Source organism: Homo sapiens, chromosome 18 (assembly GCF_000001405.40).
Source record: "Homo sapiens chromosome 18, GRCh38.p14 Primary Assembly".
Taxonomy (NCBI): Eukaryota; Metazoa; Chordata; class Mammalia; order Primates; family Hominidae; genus Homo; species Homo sapiens.
In genome coordinates, this window is record NC_000018.10 from 3815030 (window position 1) to 3830041 (window position 15012).

Below are 15012 nucleotides of genomic sequence, written 5' to 3' on the forward strand. Positions count from 1 at the left end.
CATTTGTACATCTCAGTTTTCTCATGCTGATAATAGTTGAGTCAGGCATAAGAATGCCATTTGAAAGGAGAGCAATTTTATTTGAGCTTTTCAGTGATTTGTTTTCAATTGCCATTTAAGATTCGGGAATGTTTACTGATTGATCTATGCCTTCCTTGAACCTTTCGACTTTACCATCTCATATCCAGTCTGTCTTCTTCCTAAACCAGTGGTCTCTACCAGCTGCATTTACTCCCCAGTCACTTATTCTTTCTGAATCTTTCTTAATTTGGATTCAGCTTCCTTAGATCTGCTTAAAGCACTCTCTAAAGGTTTCCAATGATCTCCTAATGGAAGATAATGGCATTTTCTTGCTTTTATTTTTTCTTGGCCTCTGCACACCCGTGCACACACATACACACAAATAACACCTCTTTGCAAGTTTCTCCCCTTTTGGCCTTCTGATTGCTTGACTTACCTGGTGTAGCTACTACTTGTCTGAATTGTTCCTTTCCTTTTGCTTTGCTGGATCCTACTCTAAGTCCCTAACTGTGGATACCACAACAAAATCATATTGTCAGTGCACTGCTCTTCTTTTTTCTTTCCACAGTCATTTTTTCTGAGTTCAGCAGAGCACTGCACTACGTTTTAGAAGCCATCTTCATGACTTTCTCTTCAGTTCCTCTTAGATTTTCCACTTCAACATGAACTCAACCTAGATCTCATTCCTTCTTCATTTTTCATGACGTGAAAAAAAATGCATAATAACCACTCTTTTTATTCATTAAGAAGTAACATAGCAAACATACTATAGTGGACAGAGCACTGCACAAGGCTTAAGTAAAAGAGACCAAAAAACGGGGAGGCTGGTTCTTGCCCTCAACATATTTATAACAGAGACGAGAAGAGAAACGAGAGTTAGCAGTAATGGTGATGGGAAAGGAGGATCCAGGAAAGGCTCCCTGGAATTGGCCAGGTTTGCAATGAGAAAATAAAAAGGCTTTTAATATTTTGATGTTAACTATTTACTGCTTATCCATTAAAATAACATGGTACTTCATTATTAACATTTAACTGTGCTAAAAAAAAATTGCCTATAAGATCTCATTTCATCAATACAACAACCTGTGCATATTTTTCTGTTTTTCTCAGGTGAGAAGCAGGAGGTCAGAGAAGGTGAGTAACTTGCCAAAGGACACACAGCTAAAACGGCAGCACTAGGGTTCGAGGTGTTTAACTCCTAAGATCAAAATTATATTAATCAAAATTTTATGATTTATGTCACTTTGAAACCTAAAGTGTTAAGAAAATTGTCCACAATAGCACACACACATATCAGACACAGATTTCTAAATATTATAGGTTCTAAGGAAGTGAGAATAGATGTTCTACTAAAAGAGCATAATTCTTTCCTTTTTAATTGTTAATTCACCTGTATAACTGGAAAGTTTAGATCTAAGAACTTCAGATTGAAGAGATGCTACTATTCATGGTCTTGAAAACAGTGGTTTGTAGGTTCTAATTCTGAAAAGTACTAACCAAGATGAAGCATCACCCTGCAGCATGTTCATTTTATTTAATAAATTCTTATATTGTGCTCCTGTGTGCAGGCACTGTTCTAAGTGCTTTTTAAATGTCAGCTCATTTGATCCACACAGCGGAGGGGTGGTATTATTATTATTCCCATTTTACAAATGAGGACACTAAAGTTATGTAGCTCACTCAGAGTTACAGCTAAGAAGGGGCTGAGTTTCAATGAGGCAGTTCCTAGGGCCATATCTTGACCACTGTTTAATGCTCCTTGTCTTTCTAGGCTGTGCTTTGTGGCACCTGCAGAACTGAGCAATTATAGTCCCGGACACCTTTGTGCTCATCACATTTGATACACTTGTCATTTATTAATTATGCTAGTAACAATGTAATGTTTTTACTTTTGTAGGTAAAAGCATCAAAATCACCACAGCAACAAAGATTTCTCAGGAAATTATAAATGCTGAGAACAGTCTTGTTTTCCTTGCATTGGCAGGTGACTCACTGCATAGATATGATCATCTTCAGAGCCTCATTATAGGTTTAGCAATTACATTTTAAAAATTAACTTGGTACAGCTGAGGGTCATAGATGACGCACACCACACTTGCTATTTCTCAATCCTGATGTGAAGTTCATAAGCATTGCTCTCTGGAGTATGTCAGAGACTAATGACAAACTGATTAGCTCATATGGCTTATGCAACAAAACATGGCAAATTTTGTTCAGATATTTTTTTCAAAGTTAGTTTATGGTAGAAATTTGGGCTCATACTAGAAACAGTCTGTAACTGTTGTTTAGGGAACCAGCTGAGAAGTATTTAACCTGTGTATCTTTCAATTAATCTTACTTTTCAAATGATAGCAGCTAAGAAGTTATGTGGAAGTGACTTCCATTGGAGTGGAATTTGAATAGTAATACATTATTTATATACCTAAAGGTAGCATACAACAAGATTACACATAAAATAATACAGTAATCCGTTCTAGGGAAAGTGTAAAGACAGAAAATCGAGACCTTGGAGAAGAAAAACACAACTGCTGAACTGTAAGGGCCATTAACATCGATATAATCGAGTCAGTTTTTAGTTTTTGTTTCTTAAACCCTAAAGCAAAAGGGAGACATTGCTTAGGTAGATAGTTTTAGAAGAAAGCATATAAAGTGATAAGCATACCAGGCCCAAAGAGTGAAATGTTACTGCCTTTTGATTGTAAAGAAAGGGAGAATTACATGGCTGCAGCTGCTATTGTGAGCTGGGCAGAGGTTGCTGTGTCTTTCCATTTCAGCTGCACAGAGAGAAAAGATTTAGGAAAATCCAAAGAAAAAGATAACCTTGCAGCTGTCTCTGAAAAGCCTGCGTTATTACTGTGGTGGCAGTTTCAGGAGCTGGAAGTCTTGGTAGAAGGAAAGCTGGAGCAGAGACAAAGAGTGCAGGTCCTCATTGATTTCAGGCTGGTGGGATGCCCTGCTTGTGTGCACCAGCTTAGGAGGGGGTTGGACTCAACAAACATAAACAAATAATAATAAAAGCAAACTAATACAGGTTAGATTTTATAGTAGTTATGGATGAGAAAAAAGGATTAATTGCTTTTTAATTATTATGTTTAAGCATTAGCACTCCAACAGAGATCTTAATTTTTGATGAAACAAAATGAGGATTAGTGTGCATTGTCTATTTCAGTGGTAGCCCGTCTATAACTGAAACCATATGTTATCATTCAGAAAACTGGAAGACCTGCCCTTGACTAAGAAATGGCCATAATCAAGTGCTAACATCCTCTAATTACAGGATAGGGATGTAGGGATGGTTTTTTTTTTTTTTTTTTTTTTTTTTTTTTTGAGACAGGGTCTTGCTCTGTTGCCTGAGCTGGAGTGCAGTGGCGTGATCTTAGCTCACTGCAACCTCCACCTCCCAGGTTCAAGCGATTCTCTTGCCTCAGCTTCTTGAGTAGCTAGAATTATAGGCCTGTGCCACCATGCCCAGCTACTTTTTGTATTGCTAGTAGAGACAGGATTTTGCCATGTTGGCCAGGCTGCTCTTGAACATATTGAAAGAACTATTTCAATACCTTTTTTTTTTTGAGGTGGTGTCTCGCTCTGTCACCAAGACTGGAGTGCAGTGGCACGATCTTAGCTCACTGCAACCCCTGCCTCCTGGGTTCAAGAGATTCTCCTGCCTCCCTAGTAGATGGGACTACAGATGCCCGCCACCATGCCTGGCTAATTTTTGTATTTTTAGTAGGATTGGGGTTTTGCCATGTTGGCCAGGCTGGTCTCAAACTCCTGACCTCATGATCTGCCTGCCTCGGCCTCCCAAAGTGCTGGGATTACAGGGGTGAGCCACCGTGCCCAGCCAGGATGAGAATGCTTTCTGAATTGAAATGATGTCACTGCACTGAAGGATGGGCTCTGCTGGAAGTGGAGTATCTTTTGGTGCTGACATTTCCCCCCACTTTAGGTTTTCCTAAACTCAGTTGAAAGAGGAACACACGGCCGGACGCGGTGGCTCATGCCTGTAATTCCAGCACTTTGGGAGGCCGAGACGGGCAGATCATGAGGCAAGGAGTTCAAGTCCAGCCTGGCCAACATATAAAACCCCGTCTCTACTAAAAATACAAAAAATTAGCCAGGCGTGATGGTGGGTGCCTGTAATCCCAGCTATTCAGGAGGCTGAAGCAGGAGAATCGCTTGAACCTGGGAGGCGGAGGTTGCAGTGAGCTGAGATCGTGCCACTGCGCATTTTACTGAATCTAAGATACTAATGCAATTGTCCCAACATTTTTTGTGTCACTAAGAAAGAAATAAACATCATCAATAAATTCTGACACTCCATAGAATATATAATTTATCCCAATATCCAAAATGCTAAAACGTGTAAACTATGGCTCTTAGAATCAATTAAAAACCTTTTAAAAATATGTATGAGAAGAAAAACAAGAAATGAATTTATTCTGGGATAGTAATTGTTGAACTTAATGTTCATATTTAGTAATGACCAAATTAATATAAGCAATTACATTTATCATGTCATGAGTTTGGAAAAAAACATAAGTTCACATAATGTCTTATGATCCTTACAACTATCATGAAGGATATGAAGAGTAAATATTATAACCTCAGTTTGTCAAATAGAGAAACTGAGGTCAGGAGAGATTAGTAACTAGTGTAGGGTGACACTGCCCAAGCTGAGGTCTGCCATTCACAGTTCAGGAATCTCCCCCGCCCCCTTCTAGCATATTCATATATGTCTTTTGACATGTCTTTTGGGTAACAATTGTTATTTTTTGATAAACTACAAAGCACATATTTTAGATAAGAAAATAATATCATAGTGTTTTAAGGTCTGTTTGAAGGAAAAAATTAATAAACAAATAGTGGGTTACAACCCTTTGAAAGAAAAGTTACAAGAACTACTCTATCAGATGTAGGAACGCTTAGTTTTAAAAGTCTCTCCCCAAGGGCATCTAGCTTGAGTGCCCCACTTTGGCTGGGCTGCAGTTATCAAAGTGTAGCTAAATAGATTACAGTCTGTGCCAATGATGGTCTGTGAGACGATGATTGAGAGATGAAGCCATGTGCACGTGACTCTTTGAGAGCGGATTATCTCAGGATGGGAAGTTGCATGGTGAGGTGTGGAGTAATGAGAATGCGTGAGATTTTGGGAAATCTGAGAGCCACAAAAGGAATGAAGACACTTAGAAAGCCGGGACAGCTGAAATGAAGCATATGTCCTGAAAATATACAAGGGCAGGCCTGTGCGATTCTGTGAGCTATTCTGGGTTGCAGAGATTTGGGAGGAAAACTGATGAACCCAAGGCTGTGAGTACATAAAGCAAAGTTCTATTTCATCAGGAACCAAAGAACTGGGAGGAAGGAACCTAGGCATTTGGTTGATTTGGTGAAAACAAAGGCAGTAGAGCAAGGAAAAGTAGCAATTGAATGGTGGGCATGAGGGATAGGCTTCTATTTGCACAGTTACCCCTCAGCAGCTGTTGATTCCTTCCCAAGCACAAGGTATTTCAATGACAGCAGCCAGGTAAATAAGGGTGCTTGGCAGTGACTTAGGGATCAACCTGTTTGACTTTCCTGTGCTTGAAAAGGAATGGTAAATAGGAGGAGAAAAATGTACATTATGAAAGGAGAGTTGGGCATCTGACATTCATGAAAAAATCTGACAATTATGGAATAATCTCAATGAGCTAGGGGCAGTGCCTATGTTACTTTATGTTAATCTTTGCAGCAGTTGTATAGAATAGGCATTACTATTTCCATCTTACTGCTTCAAAATTGAGATTCAAAAAGGAGAGTTAGGCATCTGACATTCATGAAAAAATCTGACAATTATGGAATAATCTCAATGAGCTAGGGGCAGTGCCTATGTTACTTTATTTTAATCTTTGCAACAGTTGTATGAAATAGGCATTACTATTTCCATCTTACTGCTTCAAAATTGAGATTCAAAAAGGTAAAATGCAATGGCTCATGCCTGTAATCCTAGCACTTTGGGAGGCCAAGGCAGGAGGATCACTTGATTCCAGGAGTTTGAGACCGGCCTAGGCAACATAGCAAGACCCCATCTCTACAAAATAATTTTTTAAATGTAGCTGGTGTGGTGGTGGTATGTGCCTATAGTCCTAGCTATTTGGGAGGCTGAGACAAGAGGATTGCTTGAGCCCAAGAGTTTGAGGCTGCAGTGAGCTATGATGGTGCCACCACTCTCCAGCTGGCCGACAGAGTGAGACTCTGTGTCAAAAAAAAAAAAAAAAAAAAAAAAAGATGAAACGACTTGCCCAAGGTCATAATAATTGGTAGAAATGTGCATTTGTCTGACATCAAAGCTTTTAATAATATTACCTTGCCTCTGATGAATCCGTGATGATTAAGTGAATGAACCAATAAACTAAAAAAAAGAAGAAGAGAATGGGGTGCACGCTCCCACTCAACAGTCGTGGTTTTTAAAATAAAATGTAACCATTCAAATAAGCATAAACGTTCTCGTGTCACTAATTTTCTAGCACTGCTAAAAGAGGGTTCAAAATAATAAACACTTAATTCTGAAGTGAAAGAGTGTTGTTGTTTCCTGGTCTGGGGCTGCCTTACCAAGTATTGTTTGCAGCTGCTGTTTAAACAAGCATGAACAGTTTGGAGGAGGGAGTGGGTGATTAGAAAACTTGCAGGACAGCCACACCTTTAAGGGTGGCTTGGGAGCCTTGAAGCATCCCAACAGCGTTTTAGCATTTGTAAGAAGGCTCCACCCTGGACTTTAGGTTCCTGCCTACAACTTTTTAGAGAAATGGCTGTAATGTGTTGGCCTTCTAAGCACTTTTAGTGGGCTCTCAGATTCCCTACTCACTCGATTTCTTTGCATCTTCTTTGCAGCTGGGAGAACTGCTTTTCTGCTCCACACAGCTTTCACCTTGACAAATGCGACTTGGCTTAAATGTCCCTTTAGCCTTTTTAGCTTGCTCTTCTCATAGCAAAAACAGAAAAAAAAAAAAAAAAGAGCAAGAATAGGAAAATTACAATTATGCAATGTGCAGATCCCTAGGCATGATTGTTGCTTCCCAATCAGGAGAAGATTTCCCTGGCAACCGCCCTTTCTTACTCCCCTGGAAGCCCGAAATTGGTGGAAAACTTAATTTGTTTTAGATTGCTTAAAATTACCTTTTAAGGATAAGAGTAAATACCTACCTCTTTAAATAGAATTTATACCCTTTGTCACAGCTCTTCCAAATAACATTTTTAAATGATCTTGAAAGAATAGAACATTGTAAACAGTGATACATACGGTAATTTGCTTACCATGACCCTGTAGAATTATTCTTACCCACAAACATTTACAGTATCTGCAGGGTACCCAGCACCATAGCAGGGGCTGGGTAAATACACCAAAAGCATTTTATAAAACACAGTCTCTGGTGTTAAAGGAGTTTATAAGTTTTGAGTGGATCTGGTGAATCTGGAGGGTGGAGGAAGGAAACGAGTAAAGAGCAGCTTTAAGTAAGTCAAGCTGAGTCGAGTATTAAATCTCAGTACCTCTGAATTTCCTACTGGGTTTGAAGCTTGTTCCCATAAATCCCCTTTCCTGGTGATGAAACTGTTCCTTAAAAATTGAACATATGTGTGTGAAGTGCAAATGCCACTGATAAATAGCCCTGCAGGGGAATGGCAGAGGGCCTAGGTCTGCAGTCCCCAAGGGATTGGGGAGCCATGGGCCTTTGGGGACTAGTAGAAAATGTTACTGAGGTGCTGGATGACATCAAAAGGGGCACTAACTGTGGATAAGACACTCTCGTGATATCACATCAAGAAATAATAACTAAGATGCTGGGTGTGGTAGAATGCACCTGTAGTCCCAGCTACTTGGGAGGCTGAGGTGAGAGGATCACTTGAATCCAGGAGTTCAAGACCAGCCTGGGCAACACAGTGAGACAAGATATTAAGATTCTAGTATGATGTAGGGACAGGAAGGGAAATGAATTTTATTAATTATTCACCCACTATTTTGACGGTAGTGAATACGTATAGGTTTAGCTATCCCAGTTCCACTTCTGGTTCTTGTAGCCAAGCCTCCTGATTTTGCTTTGGGAAAAGCTTTCTCCTCAATTCGAGGTCCATGTATTTCAGGAGTAGCCCAAGAGTTGGGGTAGGACAATCAGCAAATCACACTTCCTGGCTTCATTGCTTGGCTCAGGGCAGAGGTGAATGATCTAAGCTTACTCAGTCAGCAAGCATCTCTGGACCTGTGCATGAAATGCCAGGACAAAGATACCTCCTCTCTCACTGAATATATTAATAGGGATGCATGTGACCTTAGGACTTGTCGGTAGCCATTTTATAACATCTAATACACAAACATAATTTCACGTAATACAAAAACCTTATGTTATCTTAATGCCATTGCAATGATGAAAAAATTGAGACTTAGTGGTATTAAATAACTTAGACCAAATGTTACAGCTTGTCAGAATTGAAAGACAGGTTTGTCTTACTCAAATTTCTACACTCTTCTTCACACCAGGCTGCTGTCTATAAGAGTTTCAAAACTTTGTTATAGTAATTTTCTATTAAACCTAAAATTCAAGTGTTAAGTTGCTGAGAGATACAATCCCATAGCATTTTGGAACTTGTAACAAGTACTGAGTGTTAGATGCTTGGCCCAGCACTTTGGGAGGCCGAGGCGGGCAGATCACCTGAGGTCAGGAGTTTGAGACCAGCCTGGCCAACATGGTAAAACCCTGTCTATACTAAAAATAGAAAAATTAGCCAGGCTTGGTGGCTGGCACCTGTAATCCCAGCTACTCAGGAGGCTGAGGCAGGAGAATTGCTTGAACCTGGGAGGTGGAGGTTGCAATGAGCCAAGATGGTACCATTACATTCCAGCCTGGGTGACAGAGTGAGACTCCCTCTCAAAAAAAAAAAAAAAAAAAAAAAAAAAAATAGAGGTCTAGGTCTATGGTAAATATATTTTTTCCACTGACTATATAGGAGATAAGCTAACTTAGAGCCCCTTTTTAGTTTTTAAGATAACTTCATTTTCTGGTGTATTGGAGGCATATCTGTTGGCTTGGAATTGTTAGTTGAGCCATCATAGCTTTCCATTATTGTTATAGTTACTAGTGTGCTGGTGTCTATCCACCATATCCTATGATGTTTGTGGCTATAATTCCTAGTTGCAAACATTGAATTCCCTGAGGCAAACTAGAATTTTGTGTCTGGTGTTCAGAAGCAGAGATGTGGGTAGAAGATTAGTGACCTTCCTCTTGCTGCCAATAGAAGCCCACATGTGGAAACATCATTCATCAACACTAATCCTTGGTGTTGTCTAAAATCACATAAACCTCTCAGCACATCTGTCTGTTGCTATACACACCCAACTACTTGTCAAACTTGTATATTAATTTTTTCCTTAGGACACAAAATCTGATAATGTTATTATTAACAAATAGTATAGCTAGAGTCTATAAAATATCAAGTCAATCATCTCAAGTATTAATACTTAATTTTAAAATTAAAAATTTTAAAAAAGGTTTCGGCAAATATTTTCCTTTAGTCTATTATCAATTTTGAAATATTAAGTTTCTTAAATGAGGCTTACTTGTGAATCATTAACTTACATATTTGACATTTATAAACAAAGAAAAATCTCAATAGATTTAAGAAGAGACACAACTCAGAGCCTCCTGCTTCTCGTCATCATCATCTGATTCCCACTGCATCTTGGGGCTGTTTGGACTTTTTATTCCAAGCTACATTTATAACACCTGAAAGCATACGGCATTCAAACGGGCCAAAATAATCTTTCCTTCCTGAATCCCATCCATTCTAATGCAATGAAACCGTCAAACCACATGCATCTAGTTCTTGAGATCGGGAAAATAACTGAATAATATTTTGGTGTCCTCATGCACATGTGTGATTCAAAATTCCACTTTCATAATCATCATACAGGGAAGTTGCCTCTTGAGGGTGTGTACTTTAAGCTACGTTTCAATCTACTTTCCACAGGCAGCAAGATATCTATAATGAACAGAGGATGTCCCACAAACATGTGTACAGATGAGTATGATACACTCAATAGTTATCCAAATCAGTGCTTCCAGGCTAGCTCAAGGTCCATTGAAAGGAAATGTTCCAACTGGAGTATTCATTACAGGGTTCTCTTCTTTCACTTTAAACTGATTACTTTGTGGTTAAGCTGGAGTTAAAAGTTCCACTTCTTCTGTGACTTTATCAAAATGCTTTAGAAGTATTCATTCACTTGTTCAACACATATTTATTGAGTATATACAGTCATCCTATGGTATCTGTGGGGGACTGGTTCCAGGATACCAAAATCCGTGGATGCTTAACTTCCTGATATAAAATGGTGTAGTATTTGCATATAACCTATGCATTATCTTCCCATATACTTTAAATCATCTCTACATTCCTTGTAATACCAAATACAATGCCTGCACATCACTTCATTTGTGTGGATTCAACATAGTACTCAGGGTTCAGCAAATTCAAGTTTTGTTTTGTGCAATTTTGTGGATTTTTTTTCCAAATATTTTTGACCCATGGTTGGTTAAATCCACAGATGCAGAACTGATGGATACATAGAGAGGACTGTATCATGAAACAGGTGCTATTTTAGGTACTGGGGATACCGCAATTCACAGGCAGAGAAAAAAATCTCCGTTCCTCAAAGAACTAAAAATAGAACTACCATTTGACCCAGCAATCATAGTACTGAGTATATATAGGAAAATAAAGCACTCTACCAAAAATACACCTGCACTCACATGTTGATCACAGCCCTATTAAACTATACTAAAGTCATGGAATCAACCTAGGTGCTCATCAATCGTAGGTTGGATAAAGAAAATGTGGTACATATACACTATGGAATACTATGCAGCCATAAAAAAAGAACAAAATCATGTCCTTTGCAGCAACACAAATGCAGCTGGAAGCCATTATCCTAAATGAATTCATGCAGAAACGGAAAACCAAATACTGCCTGTTCTCACTTGTAAGTGGGAGCTAAACGATGACTACACACAGACATAAAGATGGCAACAGTAGACACTGAGGACTCCAAAAGAGGGGATGGTGAAGGGCAAGGGTTGAAAAACTATCTACTGAGTACTATGTTCATTATTTGGATGATGAGTTCAATAGAAGCCCAAATCTCAGTGTTATGCAATCTATCCACGTAACAAGCCTGCACATGTATGCCCTGAATCTAAAGTTAAAAAATAAAGCTCTGCTGTCATGAGGAAGGGAAAGGACAGACACTAATAAAATGGGCAAAATGTATGTTAGGCAATGATACGTACTATGGAAAAATGAAAGCAGGAAAGGGGGAAGACTGTGTGGAGGAGAGGTGGGTGGTGGGATAGGCATGTTAATAGTGGCATCATCGCAGGCTACATTAAGAGACCTCTAGGTACCGACTGACTGGAGTCAGGGACTCTGCCCTGGGGTCTGGTGGCAGAGTGCTCAAGGCACAAAGAAGCACAGATGAGAAAGTCCTGAAGAAAGGGCAGGACTGCCATGCACACAGCGGGAGGCCAGGTGAGTGGAGTGGAGTGAGAGGTGGCAGAAGGTGAGGACAGTGATTTGGGGAGTGTGGGGGTCCATTTCAGGAGGCTTTACAGGCTGTGGTAAGGGCTGTGGCATGTACTTGGGGTGAGATGGGAGTAGAATGGAGGCTTTGATGAGATACAGACACATTCTAGTTCAAGAGAATCACGCAGGTTGCTAAGTTGAGAATGGCTCAAGGGCAACAAGAGTAGAATCAGAGACCCTTGGAGGCTCATGCAATAACCTAGATTGTAGCTAAAGGGGAGGAGCCAGGGCAGAGCAGCGGTGGAGGGAGAAGATAGGGCCAAGAGGTTTGCTAACGATGATCTGGATGTGTGGACTGAGAAACAGTAGTTAAGGGCGACTCCAAGGTTTTTGACCTGATCAGCTGGAAGGACTGAATTCCCATTAGCTGAGATGACAAGGCCTAAAGAAGGAGTAGACTCAGGATGGAAATTAGGAGTTCAGTTTGGGATGTAGGAAGTTTGAAATGCCCATGGGTCATCTAAGCAGAGATGTTGAATAGGGTAGCTTACTATCTAAGACTGGGGCTTCAGGGTGGCTGCAAACATCCCTGTGGGCATACACCTGGGACTTAGAGCTCTGAGAATGAAGGAGGTGACCTAAGGAGTGAGTGTTGGTAGAAGAGAGAAATGGTCCAAGAGCCATGTCCACTCAGCATTGCTCCACCCTTAGAAGTTTGGAGCTAAGAAACCACAAACTAGGCAGGCTTAAAACGATCAACAAAGGGTGTGTTGTCGGTCCTGGAAGCTGAGTGAAAAAAGTTTTTCAAAGAGAAAGGAGTAACGTACTGTCACATTGACTTCTTCCCGTGATCTTAATCCCATGGGACACTAAGTCAGCAACGTTAATTTTATCTCTTAGTCTCAGTTGCCATAGACAAAGGATTCTGCTGTTCATGAATAGCTTTATCTTCCCAGCAAGATGCAAACTTCTTGAGAGCAAGGCTTTTGTTTTCTTCTTTTTCTCTCTCTCTCTACAGCAGTGGCTTTTAAATAGCTTTTGGCTACATCTCACAGCAAGAAATACATCTTACTTTGGAAACCAGTATAAGCACGTATACAAGTGAAAGACAGAGAGAAATACTTAACCTTTTGGCATGCCACACACTGTCTTTATTTTCATTCTCTTCTGTTGTATTCTATTTAATTAAAAATAATGGTGTTTGTGACCCATTAAATTGATTTCACTACCACTAATTAGTTGCTACCATTGCTTAGAAAAGCACTACTGTTAGAGTGTCTGCCACAGTGCTCTGCCACATTCATTATTAATCAGAGAGACACTGTTATTCATCTTCATTCCTTCTCAAGTACCTTCTATAAAGCAAGTACTTAATAGATGCTTGCCAAATGAATAGTTTTGAGACCCTAAAGTAATACTTCTTGAATTGGGCTCCTTGGTCTTTAGTTACCTTTACTTTTACTGATTGTACTTCTGTACTGATTGTAGTCGTGTAGAAGAATATTTCTTAAAACCTCTGTGTCTTCAGAATAAACACAGACCTGCATGTCTTTTTAAAGAGGTCCCTGTGTAGCCAAGAGTCAGACAAAACACCAGCCAGGGTTGGAGATGACAGCCCAGATGAAGTGAGTCCATCATCTGGGTTATCACATGTGCAAAGTTAGGGCAAGAATCCTGAAGTTTGAATGCTTTTTCATGTTCTTGTACATCAGCCTCTGGGGGCCAGGGGCAGTGGTGTTCAAAACATTTTTAAAAACAAGACAGGCCAGGCACAGTGGCTCACGCCTGTAATCCCAACACGTTGGGAGGCTGAGGCGGGAGGCTTGCTTGAGCCCAGGTGTTTGAGATCAGCCTGGGCAACAGAGCAAGACCTCATTTCAACAAACTATTTAAATATTAGTTGGGTGTGGAGGCATGTGCCTGTAGTCCTAGCTACTTGGGAGGCTGAGGTGAGAGGATCTCCTGAGCCTAGGAGCTGAAGGCTCCAGTGAGTTGTGATCAGGCCACTGCACTCCAGCCTGGGTGACAGAGCAAGACTCTATCTCAAAAAAAAAAAAAAAAAAAAAAAAGGACAAAAAGACAAAACAAAACCTTTAAAAAAAAAACTTTCAAGAACAATCCCATCTTTTTATTATAATTTACATAGTATTCAATGTCAATATGAAATATTGATTATTTAAAAATGGGAGTAGAAATCTTTCATTAAATATCTATGACCCAAAGTCGATGGAGCTGGGAAAATCATTAGTACTAACAATGTCTTAGAATTTTGAAATGCCCAACTACAGAAATGATATATAATTTAACCCAGACATTTCATTTAAAGAATCTTTAAAATAAGAGCCAGGTACATGGTAAAGTCCTCAATAAATGTTAGCTAATGTTTAAATCCTTCTCTATAGAGAATGCTTATAAAAGTGGCACTGAAGAAAATAAAATATTTTTCCACCATGTAATTCTTACTTAGGTAGTTTTTCACTTATAAGGAAGGAGGATGGTGCAATGAATACAGTACATCAGGTCAACCTGAGTTCAAATCTGACTCTACTTAGACCAGACATGTGATTTTGGCCTAATTACCTGAACATCTTTTAACTTCAGGTTTTCAAACATAAAGTGAGGACAGCAATACCTACTTCAGAGACTGACTATAAAGATAGAGATGATATAAAGTAACATATGACATGCTAACTCATTCAAAGTGTATTTGTAGGTTGCTTTTTCATATAGTAATCATGTTTAAATAACGGTTAAGTTCCCACATGGTGCAAACCCTTAAAGCTTGTTTCATTCATGATAGAGCTGACCCTTAATGGATTGTGCAATAGATCCAAGACTCTCTGAGCTTGGGGGTGGGAGGGGGTGGAGGGTGGGGAAGGTTAGTACACTTGGGGGAATCTCTAGAGGCCTGTGTATAGGGGACTGTGGATCAGTCAGGGTTCTCAGAAGAGAACAGGAAAAAAAAAGATTTATTTTAGAGATGACTGTGGTGAGTAGCAAGTCTGAAATCCACAGGGTGGTCTGGCAGGCTGGAAACTCAGGCTGGAGTTGATTCTGCAGTCTTGAGACAGAATCTTGTCAATAAAACCTCAATTTTTGGTCATAAGGCCTTTCAACTGATTGGTTGAGGCCCATCCACATTATGGAGGGTAATCTTCTTTACATAAAGTCTACTGATTATAGATTTTAACCACGTGTATACAATTACTTTACTGCAACACCTAGATTAGGGTTTGATTGGGCACTGGGTACTCTAAACTCAGCAGGTGGCTGCACAGAACTAACCATATAGACAGGAATTCGGGTGGGCAGCTTCTGAGGCAGTGGGAGGGAGACTTGATGGGCAGACAGGGCCGCTGCAGTGCTTATTGATATTCAGATTCTCTTCAGCTGTGAGCTGCATATGCTCCGTTCATTTTCTGAGGAACTATGGTTTGGGTCAAAGAC

At 39.9% G+C, this 15012-nt stretch overlaps 1 protein-coding gene across 36 annotated transcripts in view, besides 1 other annotated feature; it reads right to left on the bottom strand.

Annotated features, from left to right (window-relative positions):
• The window catches only part of DLGAP1 (DLG associated protein 1), a 959276-nt gene that overhangs the window by 318998 nt on the left and 625266 nt on the right, over positions 1-15012 (bottom strand). For 7 of the 36 annotated variants that reach the window (XM_047437934.1, NM_001398530.1, XM_017026080.2 and 4 more), the window contains exon 2: positions 6863-6976. The exons of the other annotated variants lie outside the window; for them this stretch is intronic. In XM_047437934.1, the coding sequence (XP_047293890.1) occupies positions 6863-6976 (114 nt within the window). The remainder of the gene's footprint in view (positions 1-6862; positions 6977-15012) is intronic. 36 annotated transcript variants of the gene reach the window in all.
• Positions 6553-7054: an enhancer, noted in NCBI's record as "NANOG hESC enhancer chr18:3821582-3822083 (GRCh37/hg19 assembly coordinates)". NCBI's record gives its function as "activates a minimal SCP1, AML or CMV promoter by ChIP-STARR-seq in primed H9 embryonic stem cells {active_cell/tissue: H9 hESC(primed)}" and the evidence as "EXISTENCE:reporter gene assay evidence [ECO:0000049][PMID:30033119]".